Here is a 14527-nt window from a genome sequence, read left to right as displayed (position 1 = left end):
TATTTGACCTAACTAAATATTTCTTTGACCGCTGTATTATTAGATTGCATGATTATTTTTCCAGTCTTCACAGCCATAGTCTGAAATTGATTTTTGAAGGTGTGGGTTGGAATAGCATCATGTCTGTTCTTTAGCTATGGTGCTTGAAAACTTTATGAAACTGTTACCTTATGTTTGTCTTGATTGCTGGCTTATTTGAGTGATTTTTTTAAAAAAAGCAATCTTGCGAGGGTCAAATTATCTGTCAATTTGGCATTTGTGGACAGGACCAAAATGGACTCTAATTTTGGTATAAAAAACTAAAAATTTCTATAATCAGGCAATGTGCTTTAACTTAATTCCTAAAGGTTTAACCCAAAGCTCACTGTGGGTTGCTACAATTTGAATTGAATTCCCTAAAAACTTGTAGTTAGATAAATAAAAGTATATATAACTAAAACAACACATAATTTTTCTCAAATGAAACTTCATTGTATTACTTCACCCAAGTGATTGGTTCACTTTTGGATATTGTGTATATACATTAACCTCAAGAATGTTTCAATAGCAGTTGGCAGTGCTACTACCTCCTTCCTCTACTGGAAGCCCATTTATGGCTCTAAAATGGAAACTTAAGAGGGAATGAGTAAAGATGTTGCGAAGTGCTAAGCAGTGTTGAAAGAATAGAGTGGTAAAGTGTGGAAAAACAGGCAGCTTATGTGTGTGTGTGTTTTTTAAATTTACCAAGTCTAATAGCCAGTTATGCTTTGTTTCCATGGTTTTTTATCACAAGCAAAACAATGAAGTTGTCATCTCAGGTCTCGCTAAACTTCATGTAATAAGGCTTTTGTTAGCTGTCTGAAAATTTTGTGATTCAACCTATGGGAATTATACCTTTTTTTAGAGAAGTTTCAGTCACACAGAACAATAAAGACAAGTGATGCAAATGAAGAATGTAATGCATTTTGATAGAATGCCAATTTTTCCAGAAAGGATGGTGTAATTATTGATACCTCTTAGTAATTTATGGAAATGTAAATTTAGTTTTAGTCATAATAGTACATGAGAAAACAAAGTAAAGCAATTCTGCCCAGCTGACCAAAGTAAAGCAAATTGCAGCTTTTAAATACCAAGCCATAATGATGCAATCTGAAGAGGTTTAAAACTCAGTTCTCCAAAATCCAAGATTCGTTTCCTAAGCTCTATTATACGTTAAAGATTCTATGGTAAAATAAACCTGTTTCCCCAAACATAAACTTGAAAGACATTTGAAGATATAAGAATTCCTCTCCTCCCAATTTGGAGCAGTTTTATTGAAATGTACATATCCTACCAAATAGAATTGAGGTTTTCTTTTTCCAGTTATAAAAAATGGAGAAAATAATTTTTCAAATATTTAGGAACACCATTTACAGTTCAGTCCAGCTATGGTTTCTGAAATACATAGTAGTAGCATCTGATATGGTAGCCATAAGCCACATGTGGCTATTTACATTTGAGTAATTAAAACTAAATAATATTTACAAGTTGGTTCCTTAGTAACACCAGCCATATTACAAGTGCTCAGTAACCACATTTGGTTATAGGCTACTGTCTTAGTCTATTTTGTGTTGCTCTAAAGGAATACTTAAAGCTGTGTAGTTTATAAAGAAAAGAGGTTTATTAAGCTAACAGTTCTGCAGGCTGTACAAGAGGCATGGTGCTGTCATCAGCTCAGCTTCTGGTGAGGGCTGCATCAAAATATGGTGGAGAAGGTCAAAGGGAAAGCTGGCATGGGTGAGAGGGACCAAACCCAAAGGTGTCTTGGCTTTATAACAACTCATTCTCACAGGAACTAATCCATTCCCTAGAGAACCAATCAAGTCTTTGAGCAAGAACTCACTCATTACTACCAGAACAGCACCAGGCCATTCATGAGGGATCCACCCCCATGACCCAAACACCCTACCTTATGTCCCACTTTCCTGCAATATCACACTGGGGATAAAATTTCAACATGAGATTTGGTGGGTACAAACAAACCATATCCAAATCATAGCAGGTATATATTGGACAGCATAGACACTGAACATTCCCATCATTGTAGAAAGTTCTGTTGCACAACACTGGATAGATCACATTGTCACCAGTTTCCCAGTATATAGTTTTCTATTATTTTCAAGTATCCTCCCCTCCTGCCAAAAAAGTATTGCTTATATCCTAAGTCTGTGATTTTTTTTCCATACTGAATAATAATCTTCAAATTTAAGAAGTCAGTATTTGAAATGATTAGCAAGTTAGGGTTTTAGCCGGGTGCGGTGGCTCATGCCTGTAATCTCAGCACTTTGGGAGGCCAAGGCGGGTGGATCATGAGGTCAGGAGTTCGAGACCAGCTTTGGCCAAGATGGTGAAATCCCGTCTCTACTAAAAGTACAAAAATTAGCTGGGCGTGGTGGTGGGCGCCTGTAGTCCTAGCTACTCAGGAGGCTGAGGCAGAGATCGCACCACTGCACTCTAGCCTGGGTGACAGAGCAAGACTCTGTCTCGAAAAAAAAAAAAAAGTTGCTTTATAAACCTTAAAAATAAATGCCAAAATATGTACAGTTGACACTTTAAAAAGAGAATGACAGTCCTTAACTTCTCCATGTCCATGGTCCATAATCCAAGATAACAACACTGATACAGTCTACAAATAGCACATGATTTGTGAGATTATTTTTCACATGTAAATTTTGAAAATAATTTTTTTATTGTATAACCATACCTTGAAAAGAGCATAGAGCACACACAAAATCAAACTGATATATAAATGAATGATTAAATATTTTGTGATGATTACAGACAAATTTCAGGATTAATCAGCATTACTTCTGTGTTAAGATTGAGCAAAGTGAGAAAAAGCAGATAGGTATTCTATTCATTTATTTCATTGACTCTTTTTATTGAAGTAGGTATGGATAAATATCTTTAGTTTGTAGGTATGTAGTATAGTCAAGGAAAGGTTAAGACATGAGTATGTTAAAATTGAGTACATAAAGAAAGACTTTGTTTTGGGGCAGAGCATGAGGAAAAATAAAGATAGTACGTGCTGATTGCTGAAAAAATACTCATAGGATTGCATATCATGACTTAAAATTCTTTTCCCACATTGGTAGTTAGGTAACATTTGTAGATGTTTTCTGGGGGTTAATATTATTGAGATTTTTGTCTGTGCATATTTACTAAAACAGTGACTTGCAGAGAAATAGCATATAACCAATACATTAGTTGAATTATGTTTTCATAAAATGTAACATTACTTTTTATATGTGTAATTTGAATACATTTCTTAGCTTTGAAATGATTTGAAAGAATTACCTTTTGCTTGTAAAAGCCACTTAGGATTTTTATGAGCAGCTTTAAGATTAGTCTGGCTTTATCCTCTAGTGTCATTTTAATTTCACATATTTTTTTCCTCATGCAATTGCAAGTACCTATTAAGTCATGTATAAAAATTGCTACCATGAGGAAGGAATGCCTTTACTAGTTTTTTTATCCTATGAGCTTTAGTGCTTTAAGTAAACTGTATATTTTTAACTGTAGATCTATCCTTAACTTATAATTTTTCCAAAAAATCAAAAGTAAAATGGAATTTATCTTTTATTCAGATATGCATAGTTAGAATGTGACTATTTACAATAGTTTTAATACCTGTTTTGTATCACAGGGTTTTATAGAAGTAGTTTTTTCCTTCACAAGACTTCTTGTATTGACTCTGTTACCATCAAAAGACTATTTTTGCATTGATTAAAGTTGAGAGCTTAATGTTAGGCAGGTAGGTCCTTGAAAGCAGTTTTTTGGATACAGAGAGAGTAATGTGTTTTATCTCCGTGGCCACCTTCTTTTTTTTTTTTAACAGGGTTACTCCTTCACCCAAGATAGAGTGCAGTAGTACGATCAGAGCTCACTGCAGCCTTGACCTCCTTGGGCTCAGGTGATCCTCCTACCTCAGCCTCATGAGTAGCTTGGCGGGACTACAGGCGTGTGCCACCATGTCTTGCCAATTTTTCTATTTTTTGTAGAGATAGGGTTTCACCATGTTGCCCAGGCTGGTTTTGAACTCATGGGCTCAAGCAATCTGCTTGCCTCAGCCTCCCAAAGTGCTGGGATTACAGGCATGAACCACCCGCGCCTGGCCTATGTAGCTACCTTCTGATCTAATTTGGTATGATGGGGTAGAGAAGGTTAGTTTAGAGAGAATGTTTCCTGTCTTATCTTCTTTTACCCATCTTAACACTTTTACCCCTCTAAAACTGTTCAACATGTTTTCCTCTTTGGAAATCTTTCTTCATGTGCCTTTATTCATTGTATTTTCTATGTCTCTACTTCTTGAACTTAAACAAAACAAAAAACCCTGCAATTCCACTTCTCTTATTTCCCATGGGCCCTACTTATAGGTCTCTGCCAAATTATGCTGGCTGTTCTGTTTTTTTCTTCATATTCCCTTGGTGAACTTGCCCACAGTCTTGGCTTGAACTGTACTTTTATATAACTGATTTTCAAATCTTGAACTCTTCTAAATTTCTACCTGCTGGAGCCGGGCACAGTGGCTCACGCCTGTAATCTCAGCACTTTGGGAGGCCGAGGTAGGCGGATCACCTGAGGTCAGGAGTTCAAGACCAGCCTGACCAACAGGGAGAAACCCCGTCTCTACTAAAAATACAAAAAAAATTAGCCAGGCATGGTGGCGCATGCCTGTAATCCCAGCTACTCGGAAGGCTGAGGCGGGAGAATTGCTTGAACCTGGGAGGTGGAGGTTGCGGTGAGCTGAGATCGCGCCATTGCACTCCAGCCTGGGCAACAAGAGCAAAATTCCATCTCAAAAAATAAATAAATAAATAAATAAATTTCTACCTGCTGGTGGGAAGCGTCTTCATTTGAATGGCCTATGGTGACACTGGCCTGTCCTATTGTTCTAAATAAAAGTCACCCCACCCTGCCACTTCAGATTTCTTTCATTATGTGAGTGAGAATCTTTGAAGTAATCTTTCACTTTTTTGCTATCCTTGTTCCTAATACTTAGTTTAGCATGAAGCCTTCTGGTTTCACCATTTAAGATTTGGGTTTCCCATTCCCTCTGCATTTCCTCTTCTTCACTATCCAGACCCTCATTATCATACACCTTTAATTCACTACCCGCGCTTTCCCATCACCCCCTGCCTTGCTTTTTTTTTTAAGCTTCCCAAATGCTTCTTGCAGTGACTTAAAAACGTATACCAAGTTGTTATGGCATATTTTCTTTAAATAGATAGTAATTCTTGAAGAGTTTTTATTTAAACTTTCTTTTGGATCCTTTGTAGCTCTTGACATAATGCTGGATGCAGTAGGAACTTGATAAATACTTGTTCACTCATTCATTCAGTAGCTAATTAGCTATTGGGTTCCAGGTACTAAACTTGTGCTCCAGTGATCTTCCTTCATGGAGTTAAAGCTAACAGCAGCCTCTGGTGGTAAAGGAAGGCCTCTCTAAGGAGGTGGCGTTTGTTATGAGACCCGATTGAAGTGAGAAAACCAGTCCTATGAAGATATGGAGAACAATTGCTCCAGGCAGAGGGAAGAGCAAGTGTCAAGGCCCTGAAGTGGAACAAATTTGATATGTTTGGGGATTATCAAAAGGGTGATTGTGACTGGAACATGGTAGAAGCAGGAAATGCAGTCAGGGCACCAGGTAACAGAGGGCCTAAGAGGTCATGATAATAAGTATTGTGGGTTTTATTCTAAGAGCTGCTAAAGCCATTGTACAATTTTGAGTAAGGGAATGATGTGATCTGATTAACTTGCTTTAAGAACAGAGGTAGGTACTTGAGACCGGGAGTTTGAGACCAGCCTGGGCAACATGGTGAGACCCCGTATCTCAAAAAAAAAAAAAAAAAATTAATTAGCCAGGTGTAGTGACACACACCTGTAGTCCCCAGCTACTCAGGAGGCTGAGGCAGGGAAAAAAAAAAAAAAAGAATAGAAGTAGGGAGGCTATAATGGTAACATAGGAGAGCCAGTAATCATGAAGTAGTAAGGTAAAATTAAGGATAGAGTGACGAAGAGTAGTTGGTAGGACAGACTAGGTGAAAGGTCTGAGGTAAAAGAGAAACCAGGAAAAATTCAGTTCTTTGTGCTTAGACAAGTCATGTATCATTTCTAAATTCTGTTTTCCTGGAGTCTATAATAAGGAATATCTCTTTCCTGCCCCTTTGAAGGATTCGTTATGAGGACCTGATAAAATAATACATGAAAGTCCATTATGAACCTTAAAATGCCATAACCATGTGTTACTTTTTGATACTAAACATTTAAGGGCTCATCTCAAATTAGACCTTGTTAATAAAGAAATTTCCAGGCTAGGTCCGGTGGCTCATGCCTGTAATCCCAGCACTTTGGGAGGTCAAAGTAGGTGGATCACTTGAGGCCAGGAGTTTGAGAACAGGCTGGCCAACATAGCGAAACACTGTCTCTACAAAAAATACAAAAAGTTAGCTGGGTGTGGTGGTGCACACTTGTAGTCCCATCTGCACAGGAGGCTGAGGCACAAAAATCGCTTGAACCCAAGAGGCAGAGGTTGCAGTGAGCCACGATCGCGCCACTGCACTCCAGCCTGGGTGAGATTGAGACTCTGTCTCGAAAAAACAACAAAAAATTCCAAAAATTAAGATTTCACAGGGATAAACTTGAAGCCATTTACAGTTTAGGAAATAGTTTTTTCCTGTTCTAAATTCTTCCCAGTGATATTTTCAATCTTTTGATAATTTTGTCGCTATTCATAAATATTAGCATGTGGTAATGTCTCCAGTATTAAGTAGATGACATTTTGGTTCTAATCTGTACTGATAATCATAGACAGAAAAGTATTTATAAATAATACCTAATTGTCTTCAGTTTGTGACGTATTTAAGACATTGTTTTTCTCTTCTGAGTACGTAATTTGAAGACAAATAAAACTTGTAACCCAAATGTCCTACAGCTTGTTTTTTAATATGTTATGTTCACCCTAGGGTGTTGGTGATTATAAACAAAAACATGATCTGCCATACTATAATAAATAATGATCTATAAATAAACTCCAGTCCTTTTATGCTTATTTTTGTCATACTGATTATATGGACCCTGATACCGTAGGTTAATTTCAATATGACTTACAGCATGAAGAAAGACACAAATTTTAAACAAACTTTTTAGTTTCTGAAATTTCTTAAGTATGCTTCAGCTGATTGCTAATTCTTGTTTTCCTATTGCAGGTTTCCCAACAGTGATGTCACAAGATTGACCACATTGATCACAGTAAGACCAAAATGATAGTTAAGCTTTTAAGGAAGTTTGGTTTTCTCTGAGAATGAGAATTGACTTAGAAAACATATATAATTTGAAATTATTATTTCTTTTGCTAGCCAGTTGAATGTTAACATTTTAAATGAATCATATCTTATACTTCTAGCTAGTTATTTAAATACTTTTAAAATATTACTTTAAAGGATTTAAAAAACATTTAAAATGAAAATTACTTTTAATTTACAACTGAAATTACAGGCCTAAATATACTAAATTATTTCAGTGTGACTTAAATTCTGAACGTCATCTTTTTTGAGTTTTTATTTTTACCAGAAAATGACAGAAAGGTTAAGGTGATTCCACATTAGGAAATATATATAAAAGTAAATTACTTGAGATTGTAATGAATTATTAAGGAAAGATTATGAAAATGTAGCCTTGGTAGGCTGGGCGCGGTGGCTCACGCCTGTAATCCCAGCACTTTGGGAGGCCGAGGTGGGTGGATCAGCTGAGGTCAGGAGTTCGAGACTAGCCTGGCCAACATGGTAAAACCCCGACTCTACTAAAAATACAAAAATAGCTGGGCATGGTGGCACACACCTGTAATCCCAGCTACTCGGGAGGCTGAAGCAGGAGAATCACTTGAACCCGGGAGGTGGAGGTTGCAGTGAGCTGAGATTGTGCCACTGCCCTCCAACCTGGGCAATAGAGAGACTCCATCTCTAAAAAAAAAAAAAAAAAAAATACACACACACACACACACACCCCCCACATACACCACATACCACATATATATAGCCTTGGTAGAGTTTTTAGGCATCTTGCTTAAATTTTTTATTGATATTTATAGGATTTATAGAGTCTTCCAGATATGGAGAGTTTTTTGATAAAAGGATGGTTCTCTTAAGTAACTGATACTTTTTAATTTTATTTTAAGTGTTAATTTCTGTTGTGTGTAAGGACATATATTACCTAAAGAAAAACTTTTCCAGGGCCTTTATCCACATTAGAAAATTCTAAGTGATAAAATCTGAATTACAATCATGAACTTTATATCATTTTTGAAAAATTCTCTTAAATAACAGATAAATAAATTTCTACCAAATTATTTACTCCATGATCCTGCTTCTTCAACTGTTTTAATTTAACTCATTAAATCCAGAAGCATTAATTATTAGAAGTATAAATTCACATATCAATAATGTTTTTATTTATGTTCAATCTTTTTTTTTTGAAAACTGGTTCATTTGTTAAGTTTAACATTTTGCAGAGACTAGAGAGAAATTTTATTTATTTTTAAAGGCTTTATCATCATAATTTTGTCTACTAATGCTTATAGCATATTTTATTCATTTTCCTGAGGCAGCATTTTAGCTTTCTTTGATTTGTAGCTCTTTCCTTGTTTATTTTTTCTTAATTAGAACTTTATTGCCCTAACTGAATATTTTATAATAAAATATTGACATATTTCTATAGAAACCTTCTGTTTAGCATCTAGTGCTTTACAATCAAGGAAGTTAACATTAGCATTAAATGAAACCTTTTTTAAAATTTAAAAATGCTGACTCCCACAGCTTATTTTTATTTAAATTTTTTTTCCCACAGTTTATTTTTAGGGTAACATTAAGAGAGTAATTAATTGCAACTGATCTAAATCCAAGAATTTCAGGAAGAGAGGTGATATTTAATATTATTAGATGTTAAATATCAGTTAAAGAGTAAGAAGTGTTCATTTGAGAGGTTCATAAGTGACTGATATTAGAAACCTTAAGTTTGTTATGACACTGTTGTGAGGCTTTTGCTGGCCCTTTGAGTTAAGAAAAGAGGGTAGATTTCAACATTGATTCAGGTTCAGAGTGCTAGTGAGAGAGTAGTTCAAATATATGTTTACCGTGTGGCTGGAATAAAATGAGGCCAGGAAAGGGCTGATTTATCCAAAGGAAGTAGAGAGATCAGGAGACTAGTCATAGATCCATAAACTGGTATAATGAGATGACATAGTAAGAACTAAAAGTAAAATGTTATGGTTAGAGAGGGAGATTATATTATGGGTTGTTTCAGAGCTGAAGTGTAGTAGCTATTTATATATTATGTAATATATACTTTATATATGTTTTAATCAAAATTTTCAGAAGTCAGGAGAATTGCTGTTTTTTTCTTTGATGTCACAATCCATATAAATGTCAAAACCTTTTAACTGATCTCCCTTCTTCCTGGCCATTATCAATTCCACTGAAACTTGTACACAACTCCCAGTTTGATCTGATTAAAGCATTGCTCGGTTCCTTTTATTTCTCTACTTGAAAATGTGTGGTGGCTTCTCATTTCCTATGTGATCAAATCCAGACCTTCTAACTTGGTATTTAAGATCCTTCCTCAGTTTGTCTTCAGCATATTTTCTTTTCTTTCTTTCTTTTCTTTTTTTTTTTTTTTTTTTTTTTTGAGACAGAGTCTCACTCTTGCCCAGGCTGGAGTGCAGTGGTGCAATCTTGGCTCACTGCAGCCTCTGCCTCCTGGGTTCAGGTGATTCTCCTGCCTCAGCCTTCCAAGTAGCTGGGATTACAAGCAGGTGCCACCAGGCCCAGCTAATTTTTGTATTTTTAGTAGAGACAGGGTTTTATCATGTTGGCCAGGCTGGCCTCGAACTCCTGACCTCAAGTGATCTACCCGCCTTGGCCTCTCAAAGTGCAGGGATTATAGGAGTGAACAACTGTGCCCAGGCTGTCTTCAGCATATTTTCTATTACTCAAGAATAAGAACTGTACACTCTACCTAATGTGGACTACATTCCCTACCTTGGATACACATTTTGGCTCCACACTTACATTCATGCTATTCCCTTTACCTAGAATATTCTTTTTCTTTTCACACTTAAAAAAATTTCTTCTGGTGAAATCAAACTGTCTCTCTAATACCATATCCACATATAATCATCTCCCTGAGGTTTTCCCTAATCATCCTTGTTCTCTGTTCCTAATAGTTTGGTAATGCTTAATTTTTATTACTCCAGGGTTACTGATAACATAATTGTATTTAGGGTACTTATTTTAATACACATCTTACGATACTCAGCAAATGTTTGTTGGCAATCATAATAAACCAGAAAGTGCTAAATCAATTAGTATCTTTAGTGTTCTTATATTAAAATTGAAATAAGGATATTAATACATTAATATAATTTAACCACAGGAAGCAGGGTGGATAGAAAAGAGCTTAGATTTTAGAACCTATAGAGTTCAAGTACTAACGTCACTGTGTACTAGCGATGTGACTTCTAGCAAGTCAGCCTCTTTGTGCCTCAGTATCTTCACCTATAAAACGATGCATTATTTGAATTTAAAAGGATTATGAAATTTAAATTCAATTTTTATTAGCTTTCCTCCCTCTTCGTGATAGAATTTTATGGCTTACTCCTTTACAGATAACACCAATGGGCGTGAAATCTACTATAAAGTTCAGTGATATATCCTAAACATTCAAATTTACCTTACTTACAAATTGTGGCCATTTTGTCTGTTTTAATAAATAGATTTCTACATTATGTATATTAGTGATAACTTTATTGACTTTCAGCAAGTTTCAGCAAGGAGGCCAATTGGACCTATTAATATAATGTTCTTTTATTTGAGGAAAAGGGAGTCAGAGAACTAGAATGGCAACATCTTAAAAAACCAAAATGAACTATAGAATAGTTTAGAGTACTCTGCATTCCCCTTAGGTAATGGGCGAGAAAACCAAGGTCTAGAGAGTTTGTGGGAAAGTAGTGCACATAATAGTTAAGGACATGGACTTGGGGTTAGAAAAACCTTTGTTTTAGTTTGTGTTCTGCTACTTCTGTAGCTGATGTGATCATGAGTCAGTTTCTTAGTCTAAGACCCAATTTTTTCTTTTCTAGAGTAGGGATAATATTATTATGTCTGGAATATTAAATAAACATTGCTCATAAAGCACTTAGCACAAAAGATGGCACATACTACACTTTTCTTACCCTCATCATACTCATCAATATCTGTAAAGTTACTTGTCTAAAATTACATGATTTGAGAACTTGGACTAACCTGACTTTGCTTTATCCTGTTAGAATTTTTACTGTTCTGTTTTGTGATCAGTTCTTACTTGATTAAAGGTGTCTAAATAGCATTTATAGAAAGTATAATAAAATAATTCAGAGGTTATTTTCTTAAATCTCCCTTAATCCTCTGTCTTCTCTGAGCGTATTTTTGCAGTTGCATTTACATGCAGTCTTGTTTATATGTAATTTCATTATTATAGTGGCTATATTTTATCTTCAGATATTCTTATTTAATATTTTACTGTATATTTAATAATCTGTCCTAAGGCAACTTTTTTTTTTTTTTTTTTTTTTTTGAGTCTGAGTCTCACTGTCACCCAGGCTGGAGTGCAGTGGTGTAGTCTTGGCCCACTGCCAGGTTCACCTCCCGGGTTCACACCATTCTCCTGCCTCAGCCTCCTGAGTAGGTGGGACTACAGGTTTCCGCCACCACGCCCAGCTAATTTTTTGTATTTTTAGTAGAGACGGGGTTTCACCATGTTAGCCAGGATGGTTTTGATCTCCTGACTTCGTGATCCGCCCACCTCGGCCTCCCAAAGTGCTGGGATTATAGGCGTGAGCCACCGTGCCCGGCCGGCAACCTTTTAAATAAAGTGGCTTTTTCTGTTTTTATTAAAATTTCTTGCCTGGGCACAGTGGCTCTCACTCCTGTAATACCAGCACTTTGGGAGCCCAACAGGGGGGATTGCTTGAGCCCTGGAGTTAAAGACCAACCTGGGCAATATAGTGAGACTTTGTCTCTACAAAATAATAAACAAAATCAGCTAGGCATGGTGGCTCAAGCCTGTAGTCCCAGCTACTCGGGAAGCTGAGGTGGAAGGATTGCTTGAGTCCAGGAGTTCAAGGCTGCAGTAAGCCAAGATTGTACCATTGTACTCCAGCCTAGGCTACAGAGGAAGACCTTGCCTCAAAAAAATTTTTTTTTCTATTTTTCTCTTTGGTAATTTTATTATGAATATTACTTAAATTTTGTAGAGATACACCTCTCCCAATAGTAATACTTAATAATTGAGATGTAGAAGGAATTGCTGTATAACTTTATAGTGTACATACTGTCAGAAATACTGGTGTTAGCTAGTAAATTTAAAATGTCAGGTACCTACCACAGAGAAGATATAACCAAGTATGGCATGATTGATAGTTGTCCCTAATACTGGTTTTCCCCCTCTTCTAATTTTTTTTCCGGTATATCACTACCTAGAATAAAAACATCATTTCCCCAGTCTCCCTTGCAGCTAGGTATAGTAATCTGGCTAAATTTTGGCAAGAGATATATAGGCAGAAGTAGTGTGTGCAACTTTCAGGATGTATCCTTAAAGGAATGGGTGCACATCCTCTTTTTCGCCCCCTTCCTCCTTGCTGGCTGAATTGTGAGCATAATTGGACTGTGAGTGGAAACCCTATACTGAGAATGGGTAAAGCAGCAGTAAGAAAGAAAATCCTTACTAACATGATGTTACACTGTCCCTACTGGCCTGCCTATCCCTGGATTTCTTTGACATGACAGAGATAAAATTCTGTATTGTATGAGCCATTCACTTTTGGGCTTTCTGTCACTCCTGGCCAAAACTAATCCTGATACACCAAGCTAGCTTGATGAAGAATGTTTATGCCATTGTGGCCGGATGCGGTGGCTCACGCCTTTTTTAATCCCAGGACTTTGGGAGGCTGAGGTGGGTGGATCAGGCAGAGGTGGGCAGATCACTTGTCTGGAGTTTTGAGACCAGCTTGGCCGACATGGCAAAACCCCATCTCTACTAAAAATACAAAAATTCGCCAGGCGTGGTGGCACATGCCTGTAGTTCCAGCTACTCAGGAGGCTGAGGCAGGAGAATTGCTTGAACTCGGGAGGCGGAGGTTGCAGTGAGCTGAGATTGCACCACTGCACTCCAGCCTGGGCTACACAGCAAGACTCTGTATCAAAAAAAAAAAAAAAAAGAAAGAAAAAAGTTTATGCCAGTGTGAAAATGTCTTTTTTTTTTTTTTTTAAACATCTCACTTGTTTTATTTGAACTCTACTGTCTCCATGGTTTAAGTCAAGCTTGTCCAACCTGTGGCCTGTGGGCCACATGCAGCCCAGGACAGCTATCAGTGCATCCTAACACAAATTTGGAAACTTTATCAAAACATTATGAGATTTTTTTTGTGATTTTTGTTTTTTAGCTCATCAGCTATCGTTCGTGTTACTGTATTTTATGTGTGGTTCAACACAATCCCTCTTCATCCAGTGTAGCCCGGGGAAGCCAAAAGATGAGACAGCTCTGGAAGTTTTAGGAGAAGAATGGAAAGGGAAATGATTCATTCTGTCTAGCACAGGGGATCAAGAAACGTTTGCAGAGGAGTGAGACACGTGGTCTAGACTTTGAAGTATAATGTAGAAGAGAGTCTAGAAAGAGGAAATAGGCATATAGACTTGAAAGAACATATGTTCAGAGACATGTAAATGTTTTAGTTTTAGTTGTTTGTTTGTTTGTTTGTTTTTGAGACAGAGTCTCGTTCTGTTGCCCAGGCTGGAGTGCAGTGGTGCAATCTCGGCTCACTGCAGCCTCCGCCTCCCAGGTTCAAGCAGTTCTCCTGCCTCAGCCTCCTGAGTAGCTGGGGTTTCAGGCACATGCCACCATGCCTGGCTAATTTTTCTATTTTTAGTAGAGATGAGGTTTCGCCATGTTGCTTAGGCTGGTCTCGAACTCTTGACCTCAACTAATCTGCCTGCCTCGGCCTCCCATAAGTGCTGGGATTACAGGCGTGAGCCACCGCGCCCGGCCTTAGTTTAACGTTGTTGAAATATAACATTTGAGGAAGTAAATGAGCCTAATGTTCAGCTCTTATAGGAATTTATAAACTAAAAACTTTGGTAAGTGCTAGATACCTAGTGATGAGTTATTTTAATGTAAATTTAATATTATTTATTGCTTTTCCATTAAATTTTAGTGGGGTTTTTCTTTGGTTATGTTTTTATTTTTAGAAACAGGGTCTTGCTCAGTCACCCAGGCTGGACTACAGTGGCACAATCATAGCTCACTGGAACCTCAAACTCCTGGCCTCAAGCAATCCTTCCACCTAGGCCTCCCAAAGCATGGAAGTTACAGGTGTGAGCCACTGTACTTGACTATCATTAAATATTTTTAATTTTGATAATATATTTTGATACATGTGTTGAGGAATGAAGAACAAAGCTAATATTTATTTATCCACTGA

At 37.0% G+C, this 14527-nt stretch overlaps 1 protein-coding gene across 19 annotated transcripts in view; it reads left to right on the top strand.

Moving 5' to 3' along the window:
* Nucleotides 1-14527, top strand: part of BAZ2B (bromodomain adjacent to zinc finger domain 2B) — a 397131-nt gene that overhangs the window by 149351 nt on the left and 233253 nt on the right. For 18 of the 19 annotated variants that reach the window (XM_047444047.1, XM_047444046.1, XM_047444040.1 and 15 more), the window contains one exon: nt 7227-7269. The exons of the other annotated variant lie outside the window; for it this stretch is intronic. The gene's annotated coding sequence lies outside the window, so the exon portion shown is untranslated. The remainder of the gene's footprint in view (nt 1-7226; nt 7270-14527) is intronic. 19 annotated transcript variants of the gene reach the window in all.

This window comes from Homo sapiens, chromosome 2 (assembly GCF_000001405.40).
Source record: "Homo sapiens chromosome 2, GRCh38.p14 Primary Assembly".
In the NCBI taxonomy this organism is placed as follows: domain Eukaryota; kingdom Metazoa; phylum Chordata; class Mammalia; order Primates; family Hominidae; genus Homo; species Homo sapiens.
Note: the sequence above shows the minus strand (reverse complement) of the source record. Positions and strands in the feature narration are given on the sequence as shown.